The sequence below is a fragment of the Homo sapiens genome, chromosome 2, assembly GCF_000001405.40.
Source record: "Homo sapiens chromosome 2, GRCh38.p14 Primary Assembly".
NCBI lineage: Eukaryota > Metazoa > Chordata > Mammalia > Primates > Hominidae > Homo > Homo sapiens.
Window position 1 is genome coordinate 241,028,325 of NC_000002.12, and position 26,313 is coordinate 241,054,637.

Sequence of the window (26,313 nt, forward strand, 5' to 3'; positions counted from 1 at the left end):
GCCTGTGCCTTTAGTGTAATATCCAAGAAATCATTTCCAAATCCAGCGTCATGAAGCTTTTGCCCTATTGTTTCTTCTAAGAGTTTTACAGTCTTAGCTCTTATGTTTAGGTTTTGGCTCTATATTGAGTTAATTTTTGTATATGGTGTTAGGTAAGGGCCCAACTTCATCCTTTTGTATGTGGATGTCCAGTTTTGCTGGCACCATTTGTTAAAAAGACTGTCCTTTCCTCACTGAATGCTCTTGACACCCTTGTGAAAATCGTTTGATTATATATCGAAGGCTTATTTCTGGGTTCTGTTTCATTCCATCAGTCTGTATATCTGTCTTTATGCCAGTACCACACTGATTACTGGAGATTTGTAGTAAGTTTTGAAATCTGGAAGTGTAAGTCCTCCAATATTGTACTTCCTTTCCAAGATTGTTTTGACTACTCTGATAAAATTCTAAAGTTTGCATTGATCTCTTTGAACCTAGTTATTTTATGTTCTGAGTCTGATAATTCCAGTATCTGCTGTTTCTCTCATTTCTGTCTATTCCTCTTGGTGGTATCATGCTTCCTTGGGTGCCCGATTATTTTTGGCTGTGTCCTGGACTGCGTATTTGTAAAATTATTTGCAGGAATAACTTGAGGCCTAAGATGATGCCATCTTCCTCCAGAGAGGGTTTTCCTTTGCCTCTGTGTAGAAGGCAGGGGTGCTGCCAGTCTGGGACCCCCTTAGTGCCCGTTCCAGGCTTCACCCAAAGGGGAAGTCCAGAGGGTCTTTTCTAAAAGCATGGTTCTGGTCACATTCTTCCCAGTAGCAAATAATGACAGCGCAGAGCTGACCACTGTGACCAGCAACTCATTCACCTGGGCCCAGCACCCTGTCAGGTCAGAGCCAGTGCCCTGGTCAGCTCGAGCTGCTGCAGTAAAATGCCTTAGATTGAGTGGCTCATAAGCAACAGAAATATATTTTGTATAGCTCTTGAGGCTGGGAAGTCCAAGATCAAGGCACTGTCAGTCAGCCTCAGTGACTGGTGAGGGCCCACTTCCTGGGCCATAGATGGCATCTTCTTGTGTATCCTCCCATGGCAGAAGGCAGCTCTCTGGGGCTTCTTTTCTTAGGGCACTAATCCCATTCACCAGGGCTCTACCTTTATTGCCTAATCACCTTCCAAAGGCCCCACCTGCTAACACTATCTCTGTGGGAGTTCGGATCTCAACATAGGAATTTGGGGGGACACAAACATTCCAACCATAGCCCCCTGTTATAAGTAAGAAAACCAGAGCACAGAGAGGTCGGCAGCTGAACTGTGTCACTGATGGATGCGCAGCCAGTGGCATGGAGTGTGGGGCCAGGATGGAAGCATGTGTATCTCACTGCAGAGGTGCTGCTCAGAAACGTTATGGGGCTCCCCGCTGCCTGGAGGCCGAGCACAGGCTCCCCTACTTGGCCCCTGCAGCCTCCCCGGCCATGCTGGCCCCTGGCCATCCCCCTCCGCTCTAGTGGGGGCACCCCTCCCCGAAGCCCACCTTGTGTGACCCCTGCCCACCCTTTCAGGCTTAGCTCAGATACTGGGGCTCCGCCTCGCCTCCTGCGGCCCCAGCCGGAGCAGAGCTGAGGAGCAGTAGCTGCTGGGCAGGCCCAAGTGCCCCACTGACTGAGGCCAGGGCCCAAAGGGGGACTTTCCTACCCCCTATAGCAGCCAACCAGGACTGGGCACTCCACAGGGCATCGGGTACTGCACACAGGTCAGAGCCTGTGCCCTGAGCACACAGCATGACAGGAGGGGGTGGAGCAGGCCATGCTGGGCCCATCTCAGGGACGGGGGGCTGTCAGGCCACCCTGGGGATACCCTGCCCAGGACTGGCTTCCCCTCAGAGGGTGCCTGGTGGCAGGGGCTGGGGAGGCTGCTGGGCCCACCCGCCTGCCCACAGCCCCCAGTCAATCCCCGCTCTGGCTTTCTGCCTCCCAGGTGAACAACAACGGGATCATCTCCTTCCTGAAGGAGGTTTCTCAGTTCACCCCAGTGGCCTTCCCCATTGCCAAGGACCGCTGCGTGGTGGCAGCCTTCTGGGCAGATGTGGACAACCGGCGTGCAGGCGACGTGTACTACCGGGAGGCCACCGACCCAGCCATGCTGCGCCGAGCCACGGAGGACGTCAGGCACTACTTCCCCGAGCTCCTGGACTTCAATGCCACCTGGGTTTTTGTTGCCACCTGGTACCGAGTGACCTTCTTTGGAGGCAGTTCCTCATCCCCTGTGAGTCCAGGCACTTGTCCTGGGGAGGGTGGGTGTGTGGCTAGGGCCCAGGGTCTCCCCGCACCAGGGCTCCCTCTTGCTGATGTGGGTGTGGTGCAGTCACTGGTCCATACCCAAGAGGGGAACACGTGGTCAAAACCACAGAGCCAGAGCAGAAGAGGACACGTCCCCAACCTTCCCCAATGCTCCTGGAAGCCACTTGCCTCCAGGAAACACCAAATTCCCCAAAGCAGCAGCTCACATGTCAGAGAGAGGTGTTAGGAGGATTTCCATTTGGAATGGCCCAGTACTCAAAAGGTTAGACTGGAAGGTTATTCTGTTTTATACCCTTCCTTGATAATGCCAAACATGACAGAAACATTGACTCAAGAATAATCAGCCACTTTGCAGGCTTGATGAGTTATGGTGGGCTGACACTCCCTAACGAGGACACCTGCCCACTCCGGTGGCAGATGTATTTACTCAGCACCTACTGTGGCCAGGCCTGCACTGGGCACTGGGTCATGACTGTGCAAGACAGACAGTGACTCCCTAGAAAAGAGGCGCTGGGTGCAGAACCGCCATTTTCAGAGCTGTTTGTTCATGCATTTAATAAACACTTTTTTTTTTTTGAGATGGCGTCTTGCTCTGTCGCCCAGGCTGGAGTGCAATAGCACGATCTCAGCTCACTGCAACCTCCACCTCCCAGGTTCAAGCCATTCTCCTGCCTCAGCCTCCTGAGCAGCTAGGATTACAGGCATGCATCACCACACCCAGCTTATTTTTGTATTTTCAGTAGAGAGGGGGTTTCCCCATATTGGCCAGGCTGGTCTCGAACTCCTGACCTCAGGTGATCCGCCCACCTCGGCCTCCTAATAAACACTTTTTAAGAGCACCTTCCAAGTGACAGGCAAGTGTTCTAGGCACTGGGCAGACAGCCCTGGACGAAGCAGACAAGACGCATCTGCCCCGTGGGGTCACTCTAGCAAGGCATCAGGAAGTGCTCAGAAGCATAACCCAGCCAGGGGCACTTCCAGGAGCAGGTTCATTGACAGAAAGTGGACAGTTCAGCTTCATGCATCTCCTCATTGCGCCTCTCGGCTCCCAGAGCCCCACCATGGGCCCTTACTGGCTCTAGTCCGCCCTGTCCCCTAGACGGTGCCACCACCCCAATTCTACGGCCCTCGCGTCTTTGTTTGTTTTCCGAGTGTTAGCACTTACGTTCGCCTTCCTGAAGCAGAGCACGTAGTTTCTCTAATGTTGACTTTTACATAAGTGGAATGTACACTGTATGATCACCCATCTTTCTCAGTGACTACAAACTAGCCCAGCACCAAGCGGCACGTGAATTTGTTTCACCTGCACCCCATGACTGGACAGCTGCAATACCAGGGGCCTGAGGCGGGCACGGCATAGCCCAAGTCGCCTTATGCATGATCCTGTCCTGGTACACATGTTTAGAAGGGAGATTGCCACCTGCAGAATTCCAGTTTTCCTCTCAAAAATCTACATATTCAGGCAGGGTGCGATGGCTCACCCCTGTAATTCCAGCACTTTGGGAGGCCAAGTCAGAGGGATCACCTGAGGTCAGGAGTTTGAGATCAGCCTGGCCAACATGACGAACTCCCCTCTCTACTAAAAATACCGAAGTCAGCCGGGTGTGATGGCGGGTGCCTGTAATCCCAGCTACTCGGGAGGCTGAGGCAGGAGAATTGCTTGAACCCGGGAGGCAGAGGTTGCAGTGAGCCGAGATCATGCCACTGCACTCCGGCCTGGGTGACAGAGGGAGATTCCATCTCAAATAAAAAAAAAAAATCTACACGTTCATACTCGGAGCCACATTTAGAAGTGCCAGTTTCCATTGTTCAGTTCCCACCTATGAGTGAGAACGCTTGGACACAGGAAGGGGAACATCACACACCAGGGCCTGTCGTGGGGTGGGGGGGTCGGGGGAGGGATAGCATTAGGAGACACACCTAATGTAAATGACTAGGTAATGGGTGCAGCACACCAACATGGCACATGTATACATATGTAACAAACCTGCACGTTGTGCACATGTACCCTAGAACTTAAAGTATAATAAAAAATAAAAAATAATAAAAAAAGTGCTGGTTTCCTTGCACCCCAGCTGTCATTTTCCAACTTTGCCAACTCAATAGACAAAACAATGAGTGCTACTTTTTAACTTACATATCTTTAATTTCTAGGGGTGCTGAATTTGTTCTAATATTATTGGTTACTTGTATTCTACTGTGATGTGTCTCTTCATACCCTCTGACATTTTTTCTGTAATACTTTTGGTCTTTTTCTTATTGATCTGTAGTTCTTGAATTAAGGGTCTCGATAATTTTATCTGCTGTATGCGTTATAAATAGGTTTTTCACATTGCTGTTTGCCATTCAATTTGATCTTATGGATTTTTTTAAGTATTCGGAAGCCCTTTGCAGTCAAATGTTTAATTCTCCCTTTTGGTTTTTGCTGTGAACAAACATCACACTTAAAAGTCCTTTCCCTTTCCTGAGTTATACATATATGCCTGTATTTTCTTCTAGGACTTTTCTTTCACTTTAAAACCTTATTTGATTTGGGATTACTTTTTGTGTGTGGTGAAAGGCAGGACCCTGATCTGATTCTTTTTCAGGGGGTTTCCTGTTTGTCCCAAGATCATTTCTTAAACAGTCCCGATCCTTTGCTTGATTCTCATCTGGCGTACCTCATCTGTACGCTGCCTGCCAATATTTCCTTGCAGTAGAATTCTGTGAAAACCATAAGGCCTGACTGTTAAACGCTGCAGCACGGCTCTTCCTTGCTTCTTTTTACCTTTCCTCTTTTCCTTTTTGCAATTTTGCTCATTTCACACAGGAGATTTTGTGGATCTGGCTAAGGGCAGGGGACAGTGTCTGCTCCCATCTGTGGGCCCCGCACCCACCCCAGGTGTTTCACTCACCCCAGCAATAGTTGTGGGTTGCAGACGGCCTCTGCTGAGTGGCAGGCGCTGGGAGACAGCAGAGGATGAGGCCACCAAGGTCCTGCCTCGGCTGCCCGTCCAGCTGGAAGACACAGACATTGAGCAAGCCAGGGGCCCAGTGGACAATGACAGTGCACCAGGATGGTGGACAGGGCAGGGCTTCCCTGGGCCAAGGGGAGTGCAGGGCCCTGTTCAGCCCCCTCTCCCCGGCAGGTCAACACATTCCAGACTGTGCTCATCACAGACGGCAAGCTCTCCTTCACCATCTTCAACTATGAGTCCATCGTGTGGACCACAGGCACACACGCCAGCAGCGGGGGCAACGCCACTGGCCTCGGGGGCATCGCAGCCCAGGTAGGCGAGTGCAGTCGGTGCTCTGTGTTCAGAACCCCTGCTCCCCACAGCCAGGACTGTCATGAGCTGATGAGGTAGGCAGGGGCTCACCATAGGCAGATCCCCCAGTACCGTGCAGAGGCCAACGAGAGACATCCACAACCATCCCTGAGGCCTCTCACTGCCCAAAAACAGAAACATCCTCAGGCCCAAAGGCACCTTTGTCCCCCTGACCTGCCCCGCCCTGCCCCTGCAGTCCCCTTTAACAGCTGCAACAGCAACAGAAATGTCCTCTGCTCCTTGTGCCCTGCAGTCTGGCCTAGCCAGTGACACAAGGGACCACAGCCGGCAGGAAACCCCGGGTGTGGAGGGAATGAAACAGGACAATGGCCACAGGGTCAGTGCTCCCCAGGCCCGAGAGTGCCTTTGGGCTGTGCGCACCCCCACTCACCTCCTGGCCACCTGCTTTCTCTTGGGTTCATACTTGCCCCTGGCCCCAGGGGAGGCCCAAGAGCCCAGAGGTGAGCTGCCGGAGGACTGGGCTGGGGAGCCAGGGCCAGCCCTCTCCTTGGCTCCCAGGAACGGTTGGCTGAGGTCAGGACCTGGCTGGGAGGTTGCCGACCCTGGCAGGAACATGGTGGGGGCAGGGTAACCCCCACCTCTGTAGACCTGGGGAACTGGCCTCCCTCACTCTGCCCCCACCCCACCCCCAGGCTGGCTTCAACGCAGGCGATGGGCAGCGTTACTTCAGTATCCCCGGCTCGCGCACAGCAGACATGGCCGAGGTGGAGACCACCACCAACGTGGGTGTGCCCGGGCGCTGGGCGTTCAGAATCGATGATGCCCAGGTGCGCGTGGGGGGCTGCGGCCATACAAGTAAGAGGACAGAGGAGCAGCTTGGGGTGGGAGCGGGCTGAGGAAGGGGGTTGATGGCAGAGGAGAGGTGGAGACGAAGGGGGCTGGATGCTGACGGGGAGAGCAGGAGCACTTGGGTGTCCAGCCCAGCCCACCTCAGGCGTGTGAAACTAAGGAAAGCCTGGCTGGTCCTGCAGCCTCAGCTTCCCCTAGAGAAGACCCCACACACACACTGCTCTGGGTTGGAGGGAACCCTCTGGAGACTGTGCCCTAGAGAAGATCCCGCACACACACTGCTGTGGGTTGGAGGGAACCCTCTGGAGACTGCGGGTTTCGGGGGTAAAGAGTTCTGGGTCCTCAGGGGAGGAGGAGCCCAGGGACACCTCTCCCTGGGACCATGTGGTCCCTACTCTCCCCTTATTCCCACCCAGCCTCCTGCCTGGGCTGGGGGAGGAGCAGCATGTGGTCTCTGACCCTCAGGGCCACCCATGAGGCAGGTCCTCTTACCACCCAGGTCCTCATTTTTGCCAGCGGGCTTGCTGCTTGGTGGGATTTGGTGACTGCTTGACAAACCCAAGCATCACGTCTACAGGGGAGTTCCAGGGGTCCTTCCAGCCCACAGTGCACAAACGGACGGGGTGGGTGTCCCTCCCAGGGGTGGGCACGTGGTTTGTGGGAACAGCCAGGGCGGCAGCAGAGCCATAGATGGTAGCCTTAGCCCTGCTGCTGTGCGGCCTTGGGAGCCAAGGAGCCTTCAGAAATCACTGCTTACACTTGGGGCGAGGGCAAGCGACTGATCCGCTCCACTGAGGGCGGCGCATCACAAGCCCTGCCAAGCCTGGGGCCGCAGTGAGGCTCGCACCGGGACCTGCCCCAGACTCGCCTCCCAGCCGCGAGCATCTAGGCTACGAGAGGGGAGAGGGGCCGCATCTCCGCAACACTGAGTCCCCAGAGAACACGACAGGGGTAGCAGATGCGCGCGCACCACTGTCGGGGCGGAGGCGGGGTGCAGGCGCGCCATGGGGTGGGGGATGAGGGGTAGAGAGTGTGGGGGTGGGGGATGGGGTATGCAGGTGCGCCACAGGGTTGGGGATGAGGGGTAGATGGTGTGGGGATGGGGGGTGCAGGCGCGCCACAGGGTTGGGAGTGAGGGGTAGAGGGTGTGGGAGGTGGGGGCGTGCCATGGGGTGGGGGGTGCAGGCGTGCCACGGGGTGGAGGGGTGGGGGGTGCAGGTGTGCCACGGGGTTGGAGGTGGGGCGTAGTAGGGGTGGGGGGCGGAGGCGCGTCACGGGGAGGGGAGTGGGGGGTGGAGGTGCGTCACGGGGTGGGTGGGGGGTGGAGGTGCGTCACAGGGTGGGGGGTGGGGGGTGGAGGCGCATCACGGGGTGGGGGTTGGGGAGTAGAGGCGCGCCACGGGGTGGGGAGAGCACCGCGCGCTCATGGGAAGAGGAAAGATGCAGTCGCAGGGCGGGAAGACCCATCTGAGGGCTGCAGGTGGTGCCGCGACGAAGGAGGCCCGAGGAGCCCGAGCTACCCACACACTGGGGCACGAACAGGCCCCCGCTTGCATCTGAGCTTAGGGAGTCCGGGCTCACGGGGCGGGGAGCCCAGAGCGGCCGCCCAGCATCCGAGGGACACAGCCCTCCTGCAGCCCCCAGCCACACCCCCTGCGTGGCCCGCCTTGTCCCAGAAACGCTGACATGACGGCTGAGTGCCAGCCTCGGGTTTTCCACGCCAGGAACCCTGGAGGGGAGGCGGAGTGTGCCAGTTTTTAGACCTGTCCACGGCAGCGCTGAGAGGGATGGAGGGGACGGGGTGCTGGTGTGAGTCGCTTCAGGGAGTCCGCCCCACACGAAGCCACCTCCCCAGAGGCCACGCCAACAGCACCGCCCCTGCTCCCCTGCTCCCCTGCTCCGACCTAAAGTGAAACCTGAAACCTGGCTGCTTTGCTGCGGTCACCCGGGCACCCAGAGGCCGACCTTTTGGGTCAGGGGAGGGAAGGGAGATGCGGATGGGAGTGGCTCTCCTGCCGAGTCCGGAGGCAGCGGCTGAGGCTCCAGCCCCTCCCTATGTCTGCAGCGTCCGTGTGCCTGGCCCTGCGCCCCTGCCTCAACGGCGGCAAGTGCATCGACGACTGCGTCACGGGCAACCCCTCCTACACCTGCTCCTGCCTCTCGGGCTTCACGGGGCGGAGGTGCCACCTGGGTGAGTGACTGGCCCAGGGCGGGACCACCCGCTGGCTGCGCTGGGCTCAGGAGGAGCACTGTAGGCTCCGCCAGTGGCCCTGGGCGCCCAGGGTCCCAGGTCAGGAGTCTCTGTCCCCAGGGTGTGGGTGACTTGCTTAGGGGACCACTGGGGACCAAAGGCCATGGCCCCCTGGAGTGAGCACCATGGGCGGGTGCAGTTGCTGCCCTCTCTGAGCCAATCTCGGGCTTGCTCCTCCTCCGTCCCCGGCCCAACCCGAGCCCTTAGAGAAAACTCCTCATCCGGGTTCCCGCCGCTGAGGCCTCAGCCTGCCCCATGTTTCAGACGTGAACGAATGTGCCTCCCAGCCCTGTCAGAATGGTGGGACCTGTACTCACGGCATCAACAGTTTCCGCTGCCAGTGCCCGGCTGGCTTTGGGGGACCCACCTGTGAGACAGGTAAGAGGAACCCACCGGGGCCCACGGGGCCCTGCTGGGGGCAGGATAGCGGGAGACACAGCTGGACAAGGCTGAGGTCTTGGAAGGTCCAGCAGCTGTGCATGCTGCAAGGTAGACAGCCCAGAGAAGCCACCCTCGAGGAGTGGAGGAGCCCAGATGCCCAGGGAAAGGCCCATATCTGGGTAGGGGGCAGGAGCCATGACCAGTCACACAGGCTTCCTAGACCATGGCATTCGGACCAGGGATGGGGCCTCAGAACAGGCCAGTGCCCAGGTCCCAAACCAGGCCAGGATCAGGGTCAGACAGGCACCAGAGCCCGGATGGGAGCCCGCTGGGGATGTGGTGGGGCCGTCAGACCCCCTCTCAGCCCAGGACCAGCTTGAGGGGAACGTGAAGTGCTTCTGGGGTCAGATGGGCTGGCTGTGGGGCAGGAAGGGCACAGCCACACGGTCCCTGCCGCTCCCTGCGGCTGCTCCTGGACGCTGTTTCTCTCCTGCCCCTGCCTTCAGGGAAAGGGGGTCTCACAGCCTAGGTGGGGCCTGGAGTCCCTCTCCATCCTCACTGCTGCTACCAAACCTCAGCTTGCCCTCCCAGTTCAGAGCCCAGCTCTTTCGAAGCAGTTGTCATCAGAGTCAGCCTCTACTTACTGCCCTTCCCCCGGCACCTCTTTAGGCCCCTCACCCATGCCCTTCACCCACCTGGTAAAGAAAGGTGGACCCCCCCCCAATTCCTGCTCTCCATCTCACCATAGGGCTCTGCTCAGGGAGCTTTGCAAAGGGAGCCCCTAAAATCAAAGCACCGTGACCTGCTGCTCCCCACCCAGCTCAGCCAGGTGTGCGTGTCCTGTGTGACAGTCGCTTACAAAAACATGTAATAGATTGTTTAGATCAATGCATTCAAATAGTGACTATATCAATATCTCAATCTAGAAAAAAACAATTCTTATCAGATATTTATGGTCATGGGAGGTTTTTTAAAGTACTTCCTTCCTGTGTTTACACATATTGGTATTGGAGAGAGCTATAGTTGAATGGCAGTAAGGGACTTTTGCACCTGAAAGTACATTAGAATGAAGTTCTGCAGGAATGCAATGGAAATGTGACTTCAAGGTCCAAAGCAGTGAAGCACAATTCCCACCTGGCGAGATGGGCTTGCCAGTGTGTTTACAGATCACACATAGGTGACAGCACAGTGACCCCAGTTATCCCTTGCTCCCCGAGCCCTGCCACTGTCTTCCCACAGCCAGTGTCGGAGCAAGCTCCATTCATAGGAGCCTTTCTTCATCCAGAAACTCCTGCCCTGCTTGCCCACGTGCTCTCAACGTGAGACGGGTGGGAGTCGGGCTTCTGTGGCATTGGTGCCGTGGCAGACTCAGCCCTGCAGGCGTCTGTCCCTTGGTAAAGGCCAGGGAGGCTGGCAGGATCTCCTTCCTCTTGCTCAGTGCTCTCCCTGTGCGGTGCTGGCCAGGGGCCTGGCTGCGGGAGGACCCAGGCCTATGATGAGGGTCCCCAAGGGTGACTGGGCAGAGCTTCCCAGGAATGGGCTGCTCCTCGGCTATGCCCCAGGCTCCAGGAGCCCCTCTGTGATGTGCAGCCTGGTGAGGTCCCCTAAGAGGGCTTGAGGCTTGGCGCCAGGAGGCTGGTTCAGGTCTTGGGTCTGCAGCATGTCAGTTGTACGTGTGGCCTCGGACCGTGAGCCTTCACTTTCTCAGTGCAGCTGTGGCACAAGCCTTGGGTACAAGCCTTCCCGCCTCGACCCCCCACAGGGGCTCCCTGATCTTGGAAGCCACCTTGGCCCCCAGAACCCATAACAGCAGGGGCGCCCGCAACTAAAGGCTAGGGTGTGCATGCTCCTCCACCTAGCGGAGTTGGGGTCAGGGAGACAGGGATCACCATGTCCCATCAGCCACCAAAGGGCTTTCACACCTCCTGGGGGAGTAGTCAGGCCCTCCTGTCTCCTTCCTATGCCAAAGAGAGGGCCCCACCATTCCCCCATGACTCCAGGGAGGGACACACGCTTTGGCTATCACTCTTGTTTCTGAGTTTGTTCTGGGTATGAGCTGTCAGTAAGACAGGGGATGTGGTTCTCCTCTGCGTCTGGCTCTGCTGGCCAGGGCAAAGGAGAGACCTGGGATGTGTGGGCCAGGTGCTCTGGACTCAAGGAGGGCCAGCATCCGGTGAGGAGGGAGGGCAGAGGGTGGGCTCCCCTAGCTCACTCCCACTCAGTAACTGGGGGCCAGAGTCCCTTTGCCCTGGCCGTTCCTGCACAGGCCACTGCCTGCCCCACCCAGCCTCTCGCCCCAGGGGCCACTCCTACACCCTGGGTGCTGCACACCCTTCCAGGCTCAGTCACAGCCTGCATCCTTGACCACAGCTCTTCTCACAGTCCACTTGGAATAAGAGCCACCTAGGGAGGGACCATCCCCCAAGAGTGGGAGTGATTTCCATGCACCCCCATTTGCCCCTGCCCAGCATACACACCCATCCCTCCATCCCAGGTTTGCTGAATTAGACCCAGTTCAGACAGAGCTTCGGGTGGCCAGTCAGGACTGCCTGGCCAGGCCTCTTTCTTGCCTGTCGCCCGCTCAGAAACCTGCCTGCCAGGCCCCCCTGCAATGTAAGCCAGTTGGGGGTGGGGCTCAGTGTACGTCCCAGGGGTTTCTGTCCCCTCAGGTAACCATAACTGGGAGTCCATCGTCCTGTCTACACCTCCTCACTCTAGCCCAATCCCCCTGTGACACCAAAGAGTGTCAACATGGTGGCCAGTGCCAGGTGGAGAATGGCTCTGCGGTGTGTGTGTGCCAGGCCGGATACACCGGAGCAGCCTGCGAGATGGGTGAGTGGCCTGGCTTCGGATTGGAGAGGGGCTCCTGCCCGTGGCCAGGTGCTGGGCACAGGGTGGTTGTGGCCTGGCTCAAGCCAAGCCCGCACCTCTGCTGCCCCTCAGATGTGGACGACTGCAGCCCTGACCCCTGCCTGAATGGAGGCTCTTGTGTTGACCTAGTGGGGAATTACACCTGCTTGTGTGCCGAGCCCTTCAAGGGACTTCGCTGTGAGACAGGTAACTGGCCAAGTGCCTGCAGGCCACCATGGCTGATGGTGGCTTTGTGCCGTGAACACCCCCATAGCCACTTTCCCCTTCCTTCCTTGCCATCTGACTCACCTCACACCTGTCTCTGGGGTGGGAGGATGCCTCTGCCCCCTTCCCACTCCCCAGCGCTTCCCGCTCAGCCTGGATCCTAAGCCACCAACTGCAGGGAAAATAGGAAGCAAAAGATGGATGCTGCCTCCAGGGTGCTGTGTGAGGCTGAGCAACCCCTTCCCCTCTCTGGGCCTTGGTTTCCATCTGTGAAATGCCAGGAGGGATGACAAAGTTCACAAGTCTCCTCTTCCAGCCTGGGTGACTCTTGACTTTTTTAACATCTTCCTCTCCTACTCTAGAACCCTCAGCACACAAGGGAAAGTAACGGGAATCAGAAAGAAAACTGACCTTTCACTATTTTCTATTCTATTTTGTGTTGTTTAACTGCTAGTTGTGACTTGTTAGAGGAATTAAAAGGCCAACTGGAGATTGCAGCCTACAGTATAAAAATGGCTTTCGTGTCTGATTGTTGCACCTGCCTCCAGAGGCTCACCCACTGTGCCGACTTCTGTGGACGCACCAGGTGCTGCTTCTCTCCAGGGAGATGCTAAAGACAAACTATTCAGGTTATTTTTAGTTTAAAAAATTCAGGAGGAAATTCTGTTTTACCCGTAAGACACAGAGGGTCATGGGCCCTCCATCAGTCTTTGCCGAGTGCATGGGAGGCCAGGGTGTGTCCTGAGGGGAGGGTGGGGCAGGAGCGGGAGGAGGCAGCCTCACCTATTTGGCTGCTTTAAAGTCACTGTTCCGTGTCACAGCTCACTTTGCCCAGATTGTTATCTAAATATCAATGTATTTCACTAAATTCATGTCAGGAAACGGATAAGTGGTTTCAAAAATTTTTTGCAAATAAACCGTGTTTTCTACAGAATAATGATGCAAGTAGAGTGAATAATAAGAAACAGACTGGCCGGGTGTGGTGGCTTATGCCTGTAATCCCAGCACTTTGGGAGGCTGAGGCGGGCGGATCACTTGAGGTCAGGAGTTCAAGACCAGCCTGGCCAACGTGGTGAAACCCCATCTGTACCAAAAATACAAAAGTTAGCCAGACGTGGTGCTGCATGCCTGTAATCCCAGCTACTCGGGAGGTTGAGGCTGGAGCATTGCTTGAACCCGGGAGGCAGAGGTTGCAGTGAGCTGAGATCGCACCACTGCACTCCACCCTGGGTAACAGAATGAGTGAGACTCTGTCTAAAAAAAAACAAAAGAGGAAGAAGAAAGAAACAACAGACTGACGGTGGTGCTAACGTAATGACTGATTGACTGTATTACAAGGCGCAGATGCTGACAGTCTAATCAGGTCTGACAGGAAGTGGGCCACAAATTGGACACTACAAAAAAGAGTCTCTAGTCTTCTGCTTCTGGCCAACAAGAATTAACTGCTCTTGGAATTTCCCTCTCACCATCAACACCTAGAAAAACAGACAAAATCTGTGAAACCCTTTTCAGCCATTAGACAACAGACAGCACAAGCCTGTCACCCCTGAGAAAAGGGAATCAAATGAGGTGAGCCCTACAATTGCCCCAGATTCTGCCTGGGGCAGTTTCCACTCCACTGTGCTGGGAGGAGGAACTGAGAGTCCAGCAGTCCCTTTGAATTGAGGAGACAAAGATCCTAGTTCAGTGGCTACAGGATGGTGCTCCTGAGGCAGGAGGGAGCATGAGATCAAGAGGAGACCTCCCTGAATTTTGGCTTATTATTATCAGGCTCAGGATGAAATCTGCAAGGCTGGGGAAAGAACCACTAGAAAGCAGTAAGTCAAACACTTCCTGGAGCTCAAACAGGGCTGGGAGTCTATTGCATAGAGTCCTCAGTGGGGTGTCACTTTAGTAGTGCTGAACTAAAGACTAATGTCGACCTGCCCTAACAGATCTTAAAGAAAGCTTAAAAGGATCAAACTGATCCTAAGTCATTGAGCCATGTGCCAGAATAAAATCCTATACTCCTCAACAGGAGTATATCAATAATACAACAGAATCCAGAACTCCAAAATACCCAGTCAAAAATTATCAGGTCTACAAAGAAGTAACATATAACTCACAGTCAGGAGAAAAATAGATCAATAGAAACAGGCACCAGAAATGACAGAATTAGCAGATACAAATGTTTAATTATCTATTATGAATATGCTCCTATAATCAAGATTGTTGAGGGGAAAAAAACCTAATGAGAAGTAGAAGGTATTTTTAAAAACTTGTAGAAATGAAAAATATATCTGAGTTTTTAAAATACACTGAATAGTATTTACAGCAGGTTAGATATTGCAGAAGGAAAGATCAATGAACCTGAAGAGTGAAACAGAAACAATTCAATATGCATCACAGAGAGAATAAGACTAAAAGAAAAAGAAGAGATCTTCAGCAACCTGCAGAACGATATTAGGGTAATAGGATCCACGTATCTGGAGTCTGCGAAGGAGGATGGAGAACAGTATCAAGCAGCCTGGGATCCACGTATTTGGAGTCTGTGAAGGAGGATGAAGAACAGTATCAAGCAGCCTGGGATCCATGTATGTGCAGTCTGCAAAGGAGGATGGAGAACAATATTAAGCAGCCTGGGATCCACGTATTTGGAGTCTGCGAAGGAGGATGGAGATGGGTGTGGAAAGGAGTGTTATAGAAAAAGTATGTGAAGAAATAATACCCAAACATTTTCCACATTTGATGAAAACTAAAACCCACATTTCCAAGAAAAGCATGAAGAAAACCATGCAAAGCCATACCATAATCAAATTGCTGAAAACTAATGATAAAAAACCTCAAAAACAGCCAGAGGAAAAAGCCACATTACATACAGCGAAACAAGAATGAAACAGACTTCTCGTCAAAAACAATGCAAGCCAGGAGACACTGGAGTAACACCTTCAAAGCACTGAAAGAAAAAACCATCAACCTAGTGTACTGTATTACCAGCAAAACTACATTTCAAAAGTTAAGCTGAAATAAAGACTTTTTTACACAAACAAAAATGAAGAGCATTCATCACCAGCATACCTGCATTACAAAAAAATGTTAAAGGAAATTATTTAGTCAGAAGCAAAAAAAAACTGGTACCAAGGGAAAATCTGGATCTACACAAAAGAATGAAGAGTGTTAAAAATGATAAATATGTGGGTTGAAGACTTTTTAATCCCTTTAAAGAAAAATTTTAAAATAATAAAACTTACATGCAGAAATAAAATAGATGACTCCAATAACATAAACCAAGCTGTGCAAACTTTTTCTGTAAAGGGCCAGAAAGTAAATACTTTTGGCTTTGTGAGCCATATGGTCTCTATCACAACTCAACTCTACCATTGTAATGTGAAAGCAGCCAGCCATAGACAATATGTAAATGAATAGGTATGGCTGTGTTCCAATAAAACTGTACTTTTAAAAATTGATGGCAGGCAAGATTTGGTCTGTGGGTTATAGTTTACCAACTCCAATGTAAAAGATAAGAAGAAATGGAAGTATAATATTGTAAGGTCCCTATATTACATAAAGTGGTATATACTGTTTGAAGGTAGGCTGTGTAAGTAAAAGATATACATTGTAAACCCAAAACAAGTGAAAAATAATAATAAAGAATTACAGCTAATAAACCAATTGTGGAGATAGAAATTGAATCCTAAAAATACTCAATCCAGAAGGCAGGAAGAGAGGAAAAAAAGAAAGAAGTGGGACAAGTAAAAGCCGATAGCAAGATGATAGGTTCAGTCTAGTCATATTGGTAGTTACATTAAAATGTAAAATGATTAAACATACAAATAAAAGGCAAAGATTGTCAAATTGAATTGAAAAGCAATACCCAACTATATGCTGTCACAAGAACCCACTCTAAGTATAAAGACACAGGTAATTGTAAAGTAATAGAATGGGTTTCTGGTTCTGAAAAAGATAGAGTAAGCACAGTCTACCCCTGTCTCTCCCCCACTGAATACAGCTACAATCCTGGACAGAATGCATGGAGTAGCTGTCAGAGGACTCTGAAAAGTAAATAGTAGCAGGTGGATTGGGGAAGAAGACCAAGCTTCGAAGTACCACCAAACCAGTGGTGAGTTTACCATTTTTTGTTTTTTGCTTTGGTATCCCCCCAGCCAGGACTCAAAGCCACCTCAAAACCAGAAGTGGGCATCCACACGGACAGAAAGAGTGCTCCAGGAGAAGCCCTCTAGTCCAGCTTAAGAAGCAGGGCTGACAGTGCAGAAGTTGGGGAATCCTCAAGTGCCCTTAAACTGCGAAGGAAGAAACCTTCCTCTCCAGTTGGAGGTGCTGTGGTTTCAAAGGGGTTGGGTATTGTTTTTCCCTTTCCTGTTGTTTTTCCCTTTGTCTGTCATCCCATTACTTGGTCCCAGCCATGAATGCCATCATTATAAAAGTGGCAAGGTAGGGAAATAAAAGCCGCAGCGTTTTTGCCAGAGGACTGAAAAAGGTAGCCCCAGAAAACTGGAAAGTACTGGGGAAACTGGAGGGTGAATCTTGGGACAGCAACTCCATAAAGTTACTTATGAACTCCTGAGCTCCCCCAAGTTGAAGGAATCTGTGTAATCTGATCTAAATTGTATTGACAATACCATTTATAATAGCTCCTCTCAAATTGAAAGACTTTAGTATAAATCTACTAAAACATTAGAGAATTTGCATGCTGAAAAACTACAAAGTGCTGATGAAAGAAATCAAGATCAAGTAAATGGACAGACATACCATGTTCATGGATTAGAAGACTCAACGTAGTAAATATGGCAGTGCTCTCTAAATTGATTTATAGATTTAACATGATTCCAACAGAGGTCTCAGCAGAATCTTTTGTAAATGTAGACAAACTGCTTCTAAAATTTATATGGCAAGAAAAAGAATTTAGAAAACCAAAACAATTTTGATGAAGAATAAATTTTGAGGAATCACACTACTGAGTATTAAGATTTACTGTAAAGCCACAGTGATCAATTCAGTGTGATATTGGCAAAGGGACTGACACATGGATCAATGAAACAGGAGAGGAAATTCAGAATTAAGCCCAAACAAATATAGCCAATTAATTTTTGAAAAAGATTTAAATCCAATGGAGAAATGATAATCTTTTCAACAAATGGGGTTGAAACAATTAAATATCCTTATATGTATAAAAAAAAAACCTCAACTTCAACCTCACACCTTATACAAAGATTAACTCAAAATGGATCATAGACCTAAATGGAAAAACATAAACTATAAGATTTTTAGAAGAAAACATAGGCAAAAAAAAAAAAAATTTATGACCTGGTCTTAAGCAAAGTGTTCTTAGATAAGACAGCAAAAGCATGATTCATTAAAAAGAAAAAGATAAATTAGACTTCATCAAAATTTAAAACTTTTGCTTTGTGAAAGACATGGTTAAAAGAATAAAAAGACAAGCTACAGACCAGGAGAAAACGTTTGCAAAACTCATACCCAACAAAGGACTTGTGATCAGAATACACCAAGAATTCTCAAATCTCAACTGTGAGAAAACAAACAACCCAATTTTAAAAATGGACAAAAGACTTGAACGGATACTTGGCCACAAAAGATACATATATGGAGGTGAATAAACGGATGGAAAAATACTCTTGTCATTAATATCAGCCATTAGTGAAATGCAAATAAAAGCCACTACGAGGAATCACAACAAACTCATTAGAATGCCTAAAAAAAATAATACTGACCTGGTGTAGATACAGAGCAACTGGAACTCTCACACATTTTTAGTGGAAATGCAAAATGGTTCAGCCACTCTAAAAACAGTTTGGCAGGTTTTTTATAAGGTTAAGTATATGCTTATAATATGCCCCAGCAATCCCACTCCTTGTATTAACTCTAAAGAGATGAAAACTTATGTTTACACACAAATCCATATACAGATGTTTATATTATTTCTATTTATAATCACCAAACCCCAAAACTCAAATACCCTTCACTGGGTGAATGGATAGACAAATTGTGGAACCTCTGTATGGTGGAATACTACTCAGTCATAAAAAGGACCAATTATAGATACATACGACAACTTAGATGGATCTCAGGGGAATTATGCTGAGTGAAAGAAGCCAGTCTCAAAGATTATATCCTGTATGGTTCCACTAAATGGCATTCTTCGTAAAACAAAACTATAGTGATGAACAAATCAGTAGTTGCCAGGGACTGAGGGGTAACAGGAGCTCTGTGACTCTGAAGAGATAGACCAAAGAAGTCTTTCAGGGAGATGGAATGTTCTGTATCCTGACTGTGGTGGGGGTTAAACAAATCTATATATGTGTTAAAATTCATAGAGGTGTGGTGAACAAAAGTCAATTTTACTGTATACTGATTTACAAAGACACATTTTGAAAGCACGTGAAGAAACTGAACATCTTTTAAAAACCAAAAAGTAGCTGGCGTGGTGGCTCACCCCTGTAATCCCAGCACTTTGGGAGGCCAAGGCAGGCGGATCACGAGGTCAGGAGATCAAGACCATCCTGGCCAACAGAGTGAAACCCCATCTCTACTAAAAATACAAAAATTAGCTGGGTGTGGTAGCACGTGCTTATAATCCCAGCTACTCGGGAAGCTGAGGCAGGAGAATCACTTGAACCCCAGGGAGTTGGAGGTTGCAGTGAGCCGAGATCGCGCCACTGCACTGCACTCCAGCCTGGCAAGAGAGCGAGACTCTGTCAAAAAAAAAAAAAAAAAAAAAAAGTAAATTAGGTAAACTAATCAAGATAATGCTGCAGTGGCTATATTAATATCGAATAAATTAAACTTTAGAATGGGGAATACTGCTGGGAATTAGGAGGGACCTTTTATAACGATAGAGGGGTCAATTCATCCAGAAGACATAACTCTAGATATACTTGTACCTATTAACACCTATTCACATGAAGCAAAAGCTGACTGAACTGCAAGGAGAAATAGGTCCATAATTATTGGTGGAGATTTCGACACTCCCCTCTCAGTGGTTCATAGAACATGTACACAGGAAATCAGTAAAGCTAGAGGAGACTTGGGCTTGGCCTACTTGGCATTTATAGAGCACTCACGTTATTCTCAAGTGCTCTTGGCCATCATAGGCCATATTGTGAGCCATAAGTAAGGCCCAATACATTGAAAAGGATTGTGTTTTCTGACCATAGCAAAATTAAACTAGAGATCAGCAGAAAGATATCTGGAAAATCCCAAATACTTCACTGATAGGGATGCCTGACCAGAAACGTTTGGAGGCCCCTGGCCCCTGGGTGGTCTCTCTGGTCCTTCTTGTTCTGTCCATTCCTGGGTGGCTTCTCTGGTGCTTCTTGTTCTATCCAATCCTGGGTGGTCTCTCTGGTGTTTCTTGTTCTGTCCATTCCCAGGTGGTTTCTCTGGTGCTTCTTGTTCTGTCCAATCCCGGGTGGCTTCTCTGGTGCTTCTTGTTCTGTCCAATCCTGGGTGGTCTCTCCGGTGCTTCTTGTTCTGTCCAATCCTGGGTGGTCTCTCTGGTGCTTCTTGTTCTGTCCAATCCTGGGTGGTCTCTCTGGTGCTTCTTGTTCTGTCCAATCCTGGGTGGTCTCTCCGGTGCTTCTTGTTCTGTCCAATCCTGGGTGGTCTCTCCGGTGCTTCTTGTTCTGTCCAATCCTGGGTGGTTTCTCTGGTGCTTCTTGTTCTGTCGAGGAAGGAGCTGGGAGATGCTGAGCTCCATGGGGTGCAGCGCAGCTACAAATCCATTTCCAGAAATAAGCTTCTGGCTTAAATTCCACTTGGGAATGACAACAGAGGTGAAAACCCAAAGGTGCCATTGGAGCTGGGCGGGGAGACCACTCTCCCCACATTCCCTGCGTGGCCGCTGGTGACTGCCGTCTTTCTTGCAGGAGACCATCCAGTGCCAGACGCCTGCCTCTCGGCCCCTTGCCACAATGGGGGCACCTGTGTGGATGCGGACCAGGGCTACGTGTGCGAGTGCCCCGAAGGCTTCATGGGCCTGGACTGCAGGGAGAGTGCGTCTGGGCTGCAAGGGCTGCCGTTTTAGGGCTGGGGCAGGAGACCCAGGGAGGGCCTTCCTGTGGGTGCATGCAGGAAACGCCCCGAAAAGAAACGTGTGAGTGCGCGTCCACTGCAATTTGTATGGGAAGTTGGCCAGGAGCAGGGCAGGGTCTGGAGCGAGGGTGCCATCTTTCTGCGCCCCCACATGGGAGGCTCCTCCCTCTCTTCGTGGCAGGAGTCCCCGATGACTGTGAGTGCCGCAACGGAGGCAGATGCCTGGGCGCCAACACCACCCTCTGCCAGTGCCCCCTGGGATTCTTTGGGCTTCTCTGTGAATTTGGTAGGTGCCCAGGTCACCCTTCCTGCCCTGTCCCTGAGCATCCTCATAATCGGGAAATGAATGGTGGCTTCGGCCGGGGTCCGTAGGTCCAGACTGTCGACCATTGGTTCTACCCCCACCCAGGAGGGACTGGCCACAAGAGTGCCTGAACCTGTTGGGGCCACTGGGTCTTGGGAGGCCCCATCCTTGACAAGGACTCGAGGTCTGCTGGAAGACATGTGGAATATGGGATGGGGCTTCCTCCTTTCTCTCTAGAAATCACAGCCATGCCCTGCAACATGAACACACAGTGCCCAGATGGGGGCTACTGCATGGAGCACGGCGGGAGCTACCTCTGCGTCTGCCACACCGACCACAATGCCAGCCACTGTGAGTAGCTCGGGGACGAGCCTGCTGGGCCGGGGGCCCGGACAGAAGCCAGGGAGAAAGCGGTGGATGAGGCAGGCAGAGGCCAGAGTCCCTACTTCCCTTCTGACTCTCGGGAGAGCTGGCACCTGGGGAAGCCTCTCTCAATAGCCTTCCTGTAATATGGGGCTAGACATCTCCTCTTCCCCAGTGGAGTAAGCTCACAGGGGGAAAAGCACTTCTGCAAGTATACAAACACCATGTGGTATCTTACCTAAGCCCCAACACAAGCTATTAAAATATTTAATGCATACATAATTAGGCATGTGTAATGAAATGTATCACTACTATACGTTTGTTAGTGTATAGATGAGATGGTTAATCACTTGCATCACGTATAGTTATATAGAATAATGATGTGATGCTGGCAGTGATGACAGGAAGGCGTTTCTGTATCACAGCTCAGTCCTGCCTCGTAGAAGACGGAAGGGTGAATTCTGCTAAAATCGAGAAAAAGAGAAATTCCAGGGAGGGGCCCTAGAGCCCACTCTGAGGAATCAAGATGCCCACAGAGTGTATTTTCAGTGGCCTTGGTTCCAGACAGGATGTCAGGGTAACCCTGGCAGGCAAGGTGCCCGCCAGCCTCTTGCCGCCCGCACAGATGCGGCGTAAGCTCCAGGACCACCCTCTGTCCCCCGCCCCCAGCCCTGCCATCACCCTGCGACTCGGACCCCTGCTTCAACGGAGGCTCCTGCGATGCCCATGACGACTCCTACACCTGCGAGTGCCCGCGCGGGTTCCACGGCAAGCACTGCGAGAAAGGTATGGCGGGCAGGGGCGTCCGGGCCGGCGTCAGCACCCTGGAGAGCGCCCGCGGTCCGCCGTCCTGCTTCTCTGCTGTCTCTCTCCTTGTTTCGCGAATTGCTGACCTCGTCTAGAGCCTTGCCTGATGTGCTGCTCTGTTCTGTGTATTTAGAGGTGAGCACCTCACTGTTTGGATGGTTCTGATCTGCACCAGTGCCAGGCCTGCTGGTCATTACCTTGCTCTTCTGAAAATAGGCTTCATTGCCTGCTCAGCATTTTTCCAAATAGATTTTAGAATCATTATATCAAATTTTATTTTTAAAATTTCCATAGGATTTTGCTCAATCTAATTCAGCATGGAAAATGTCGAATTTTATTACATTTAGTCGCTTGAGAATAGAAGTGTCCTTCTGTAAGCACACTGCAGGCGTAGCTATCCCCGCCAGGCCCCACCCAGGACTGTCCCTTCTGTGCAGTTTGAAGCAACAGTCAGGACTCCCATCAGTCACCCCCAGACCTGTTCAGCATCTCAGTGGTCAGTGCCCAGAGGGGGCTGCCTGACCGCAGAGTGACCTGGCACCCTCTCCAGGGGCTCAGCCCCAGGCACCCCCGCAGCCTGGACTGGTGTGGAGCCTTCCACGGCCCCTCCCCTGCTCTGTTCCTTGTCCCTGAGGGAAAGACCCTGAAGTCTGAGCCCTGGACCCCGTGGCTCCCCCAACCACTGCAGCAGAGGTAGAACAGGTTTCCAAAGAGAAGACCCCAACTGCTTGGTTCTTTGCAAGCTCTGACGAGGTCTTTGTCTCTCAACACACTCCTAGGACCACCCTGAGGCCCTTCATGGGCCCTGCCCAGAGCTGACTCTGGCCCTACTCCAGCTCACACCTGCCAGTGGTATGAAGTCCACTGTACCCAAGGTGGGGGTCCTACCAGAGCCCACATCTCCTCACTAGACCAGACTGCTGGTACCCAGTGTCCCTGCCCCAAAGGTTCTGTGCCCGCCCCAGGAACTGCACAGCCCTCCCCCAGCATCCCAGCTTCCGTGAGCACACAGGCCACCAATGTGGACACCTCTGACCCCGGAGGGAGTACGGAAGGGACAAGGATGGCTGTCCTCAGGGGTGGGGCAGCCAGAGCTTGGACCTGCAGCGTGGGATGGCTGGCAGGAGAGGAGCGAGCACAGTGGGGCAGGCCCCTCCCGCCACTCAGAACACCCAGGGGTCCAAGGATTCGGCACTCCTCACTGGCCCTTTGACAGTGTGATTGTCAAGGTGGCAGGACAGATGTGCTTGGTTTCGCAGACACCTTTAAATATGTGCTTGCCTCAAGCACAGGCCCGGCCGTCTGAGCTCCTCGGGTTCCAGGAACTGTTAGGACCCAGGGAAAATGTGGCAATGCCAATGCAGGTACAGAACACACAGAAATCCAGATTGACTGCTGGGGACCCTGATGTCACGGCAGATGAGACTCAGCTGCTTCCTGTCAGATGGGGAATGCCCGTGTGCAGGAGGGAGGGAGTGCTGCGCCCGCTGCAGTGTTGGGGCCGGTTCTCCACAGGAAGGGCCCAGCCATTGCCAGAGCCTGGGCAGAAAAGAGGACAGGCAAGCAAAGGGCCCACCTGTGACTGAGTTGGGGTCTCCAGCCTGTGAGCCCCACCCCAGCCCCCACCATGTGTGCGGACCTGCTTGGCCCCTGCTGCAGCCAGGCCCCAGGGCTTCGTCGAGAAGGCCCCACCAGCACCAGAGGACTGAGGAGATGCCAGGAGGGTATAGTGGCTCTGTGGGGCCAGCAGCCTGGCCCCGTTCATCTGCCTCTCTGTCCTTCCACACAGCCCGGCCACACCTGTGCAGCTCAGGGCCCTGCCGGAACGGGGGCACGTGCAAGGAGGCGGGCGGCGAGTACCACTGCAGCTGCCCCTACCGCTTCACTGGGAGGCACTGTGAGATCGGTGCGGCCCCCAGGGGCAGGGGGGAGGGCAGGAACGACGGGCCAGCCCTGAGCTGGGGCCCCTGATGCACCCTCCCTGCCAGCTGTGGGTCTGCTTCTCATGAAGAGGCCCCAGCTCTGGGATGTTGGGGAACGTGGGAGGGGCAGTGGGCTGTGACCCTGACCTGGCTTCTGTTTCCAGGGAAGCCAGACTCGTGTGCCTCTGGCCCCTGTCACAACGGCGGCACCTGCTTCCACTACATTGGCAAATACAAGTGTGACTGTCCCCCAGGCTTCTCCGGGCGGCACTGCGAGATAGGTAAGGTGGGTGGGAGGCCAGGCCAGGGCGGCCAGGGGTGAACCCTCTCTGCAGATGTGAAAACAGGCCCATGGGCAGGGCTGGTCCAGGCCCTGGAGGCGCAGGAGGTGGAGCTGGGTGCAGGAGGCAGGATGCCCCACACAGTCCCGAGCCTTCAGGGAAGACACAGTGGCCAGGACCTTCCTGCATTCTGGCAGCCCCCTCCCCCTGCTTCCGGAGCCCGTGTGTGAATGGGGGCACCTGCGAGGACCGGGACACGGATTTCTTCTGCCACTGCCAAGCAGGGTACATGGGACGCCGGTGCCAGGCAGGTGAGAGGGTCAGGGGGATCAAGCAGGGTACATGGGATACCAGTGCCAGGCAGGTGAGATGGCCAGGGCCCAAGCAGGGTACATGGGATACCAGTGCCAGGCAGGTGAGAGGGCCAGGGGGCCAAGCAGGATATATGGGATACCAGTGCCAGGCAGGTGAGAGGGCCGGGGGGCCAAGCAGGGTACATGGGACACCGGTGCCAGGCAGGTGAGAGGGTCGGCGGGGGGGGGGGGGGTCAAGCAGGGTACATGGGATACCAGTGCCAGGCAGGTGAGAGGGCCGGGGGGCCAAGCAGGGTACATGGGATGCTGGTGTCAGGCAGGTAAGGCCTGGGGGGCCCAAGCAGGGTACATGGGATGCCGGTGTCAGGCAGGTGAGATGGCCGGGGGGCCGAGCAGGGTACATGGGATACCAGTGGCAGGCAGGTGAGAGGGCTAGAGGGGGGTCAAGTGGGGAGCGTGGGATTTCTTGCTAATCCCTGCAGAGCTGGGCAAGGCAGGAATGGGAAGAAGGAAACGTATCACGGCAACCAGGCCCCAGAAGTCGAGGCACCTTTCCCCGGTGAAGGGCAGTGTGGGAGCAGGACATCCCTGGGCCCTGCAGTCGGGTCGGGCAGAGGCAGGGCGGTGGGGAGGGGCCAGGAAGGCACAGGACCGTGCGAGACAGGCTGCCGTGCCTTGCAGAGGTGGACTGCGGCCCCCCGGAGGAGGTGAAGCACGCCACACTGCGCTTCAACGGCACGCGGCTGGGCGCGGTGGCCCTGTATGCATGTGACCGTGGCTACAGCCTGAGCGCCCCCAGCCGCATCCGGGTCTGCCAGCCACACGGTGTCTGGAGTGAGCCTCCCCAGTGCCTTGGTGATTCTGTGGGCCCTTGGGGTGGGGCAGGTGGGGCCCACACCCTCCTCATCCTGGCCATGTGGAGGAGCACAGGGGCTGCAGGCCCAAGCCTGGATGCCCAGCTCTGACCTGGTCCTGCCCCTGCTCCCCTCAGTCTCCTGTCTGTGAATGTGGACCTTGGGGTGACAGTGGTGATGATCACAGTCAACTTTGCTCTGGGGCATTCACTAAAGGCTTCCCCATCCTCAGAGCAGCCCGGAGCAGGAGGTCAAACACCCAAATACCCACTCTGCAGATGCAGCAGCTGAGGCCAAGAGGTAGCCCAGGGGCAGAGTCCTAAAGAGCCAGATACGGATTCAGGACCTACCTCTTACTCCTGGCCCCTTGAAGACTTGTGGAATCAGAACAAGATCCCCCTTCCCCCTGCAGGCATTTGAGGAGTGCTGCTCCAGAGAGCATTGCCACTGAGGTCCCACCCCTGTCTGGCTTGGGAGCTGGGAGTGCACAGCCTAGAGACAAGGCTCCCTCTGACCGAAGCCCCTGGAGAAGTAGGGCCATTAACACCCTGCAGGTGCATCGCATTATGCCAGAGGAGTCCAAACTGTCCATCAGAAAGTCTGTGTGATGTGAGCTAGTTTTTACGAAGCAAGGATTTTAAAACAAGCTTAGGAACAGTGGGTGACAGCACCCAGATTTGAGTGGGGCACATAAGCCCATCCCTGTCCCCCACATGCCCCGCAAAGCCAAGGCCAACCTGCGTGGTCTCAGGCGAAGGGTTCTGGGAACACCTGGCTTCAAGCATCCCTCCTTTCCTTCTGGGATTTCAAGCCCCAGGTGAGCTCCTGACTGTCTTGGAGATGACCCCCCCTCCCAATGCTACTTCCCCACCTATATGTTGCCAGAAGATGAGAAGCCGATATCCTCAGAGAATATGAGCAACCAGCCAGGATATCGAGACACCTGAAAAGTACGATTGCCTCAGAAAACAATAATAAAAGTCCAGAAAATATGTATGATCGGAAGCAGAAGTGTAGAAGACAGACTAACACAGGAGTTCAAGACCAGCAAGGGCAACATAGGGAGACCTCATCTCTACAAAAAAATTTAAAAACTAGCCCGGCGTGGTGGCACATGCCTGTAGTCCCAGCTACTTGGGAGACTGAGGCAGGAGATCACTTGAACCTGGGAGGTCAAGGCTGCAGTGAGCCATGAGCCTGCCACTGTACTCCAGCCTGGGTAGCAGAGCAAGACCCCACCTCATACAAAAAAAGAAAATGGATTAACGGTATAAAATAACCGTGACAAATTTACAAAGTAAACATGGCATTG

The 26,313-nt window shown here is 52.9% G+C and overlaps 2 protein-coding genes and 1 long non-coding RNA gene across 26 annotated transcripts in view, besides 5 other annotated features; 1 reads left to right on the forward strand and 2 right to left on the reverse strand.

Moving 5' to 3' along the window:
* Positions 1-26,313, forward strand: part of SNED1 (sushi, nidogen and EGF like domains 1) — a 97,919-nt gene that overhangs the window by 30,675 nt on the left and 40,931 nt on the right. For 21 of the 23 annotated variants that reach the window (XR_002959254.2, XR_002959256.2, XR_002959257.2 and 18 more), the window contains 15 exons: positions 1,960-2,247; positions 5,411-5,551; positions 6,244-6,406; positions 8,466-8,591; positions 8,916-9,029; positions 11,751-11,864; positions 11,976-12,089; positions 19,991-20,116; positions 20,338-20,442; positions 20,698-20,811; positions 21,493-21,609; positions 23,420-23,536; positions 23,717-23,833; positions 24,031-24,144; positions 24,829-25,002. Coding sequence is in view for 14 of the 23 variants with exons in the window: in XM_011510931.3 (XP_011509233.1) it covers positions 1,960-2,247; positions 5,411-5,551; positions 6,244-6,406; positions 8,466-8,591; positions 8,916-9,029; positions 11,751-11,864; positions 11,976-12,089; positions 19,991-20,116; positions 20,338-20,442; positions 20,698-20,811; positions 21,493-21,609; positions 23,420-23,536; positions 23,717-23,833; positions 24,031-24,144; positions 24,829-25,002 (2,044 nt within the window). In the remaining 9 variants the exon portion in view is untranslated. Of the gene's footprint in view, positions 1-1,959; positions 2,248-5,410; positions 5,552-6,243; positions 6,407-8,465; positions 8,592-8,885; positions 9,030-11,701; positions 11,865-11,975; positions 12,090-19,990; positions 20,117-20,337; positions 20,443-20,697; positions 20,812-21,492; positions 21,610-23,419; positions 23,537-23,716; positions 23,834-24,030; positions 24,145-24,828; positions 25,003-26,313 lie in introns of those variants that run through there. The other 2 variants (XR_002959258.2, XR_002959263.2) reach the window with 2 other exon arrangements.
* Positions 1-26,313, reverse strand: part of SNED1-AS1 (SNED1 antisense RNA 1) — a 50,629-nt gene that overhangs the window by 14,835 nt on the left and 9,481 nt on the right. For both annotated transcript variants that reach the window (NR_187212.1, NR_187211.1), the window contains exon 2: positions 5,177-5,279. This is a non-coding gene — a long non-coding RNA (SNED1 antisense RNA 1). The remainder of the gene's footprint in view (positions 1-5,176; positions 5,280-26,313) is intronic.
* Positions 5,776-6,719: an enhancer, noted in NCBI's record as "H3K4me1 hESC enhancer chr2:241973517-241974460 (GRCh37/hg19 assembly coordinates)". NCBI's record gives its function as "activates a minimal SCP1, AML or CMV promoter by ChIP-STARR-seq in primed H9 embryonic stem cells {active_cell/tissue: H9 hESC(primed)}" and the evidence as "EXISTENCE:reporter gene assay evidence [ECO:0000049][PMID:30033119]".
* Positions 6,720-7,661: an enhancer, noted in NCBI's record as "H3K4me1 hESC enhancer chr2:241974461-241975402 (GRCh37/hg19 assembly coordinates)". NCBI's record gives its function as "activates a minimal SCP1, AML or CMV promoter by ChIP-STARR-seq in naive H9 embryonic stem cells {active_cell/tissue: H9 hESC(naive)}" and the evidence as "EXISTENCE:reporter gene assay evidence [ECO:0000049][PMID:30033119]".
* Positions 7,662-8,605: an enhancer, noted in NCBI's record as "H3K27ac-H3K4me1 hESC enhancer chr2:241975403-241976346 (GRCh37/hg19 assembly coordinates)". NCBI's record gives its function as "activates a minimal SCP1, AML or CMV promoter by ChIP-STARR-seq in naive H9 embryonic stem cells {active_cell/tissue: H9 hESC(naive)}" and the evidence as "EXISTENCE:reporter gene assay evidence [ECO:0000049][PMID:30033119]".
* Positions 13,035-13,084: an enhancer, noted in NCBI's record as "active region_17412". NCBI's record gives its function as "activates an Ori minimal core promoter by ATAC-STARR-seq in GM12878 lymphoblastoid cells {active_cell/tissue: GM12878}" and the evidence as "EXISTENCE:reporter gene assay evidence [ECO:0000049][PMID:35858748]".
* Positions 13,535-13,764: an enhancer, noted in NCBI's record as "active region_17413". NCBI's record gives its function as "activates an Ori minimal core promoter by ATAC-STARR-seq in GM12878 lymphoblastoid cells {active_cell/tissue: GM12878}" and the evidence as "EXISTENCE:reporter gene assay evidence [ECO:0000049][PMID:35858748]".
* The window catches only part of MTERF4 (mitochondrial transcription termination factor 4), a 59,702-nt gene continuing 47,650 nt past the window's right edge, over positions 14,262-26,313 (reverse strand). Inside the window, exon 6 of the mRNA XM_047443428.1 lies at positions 14,262-14,691. The gene's annotated coding sequence lies outside the window, so the exon portion shown is untranslated. The remainder of the gene's footprint in view (positions 14,692-26,313) is intronic.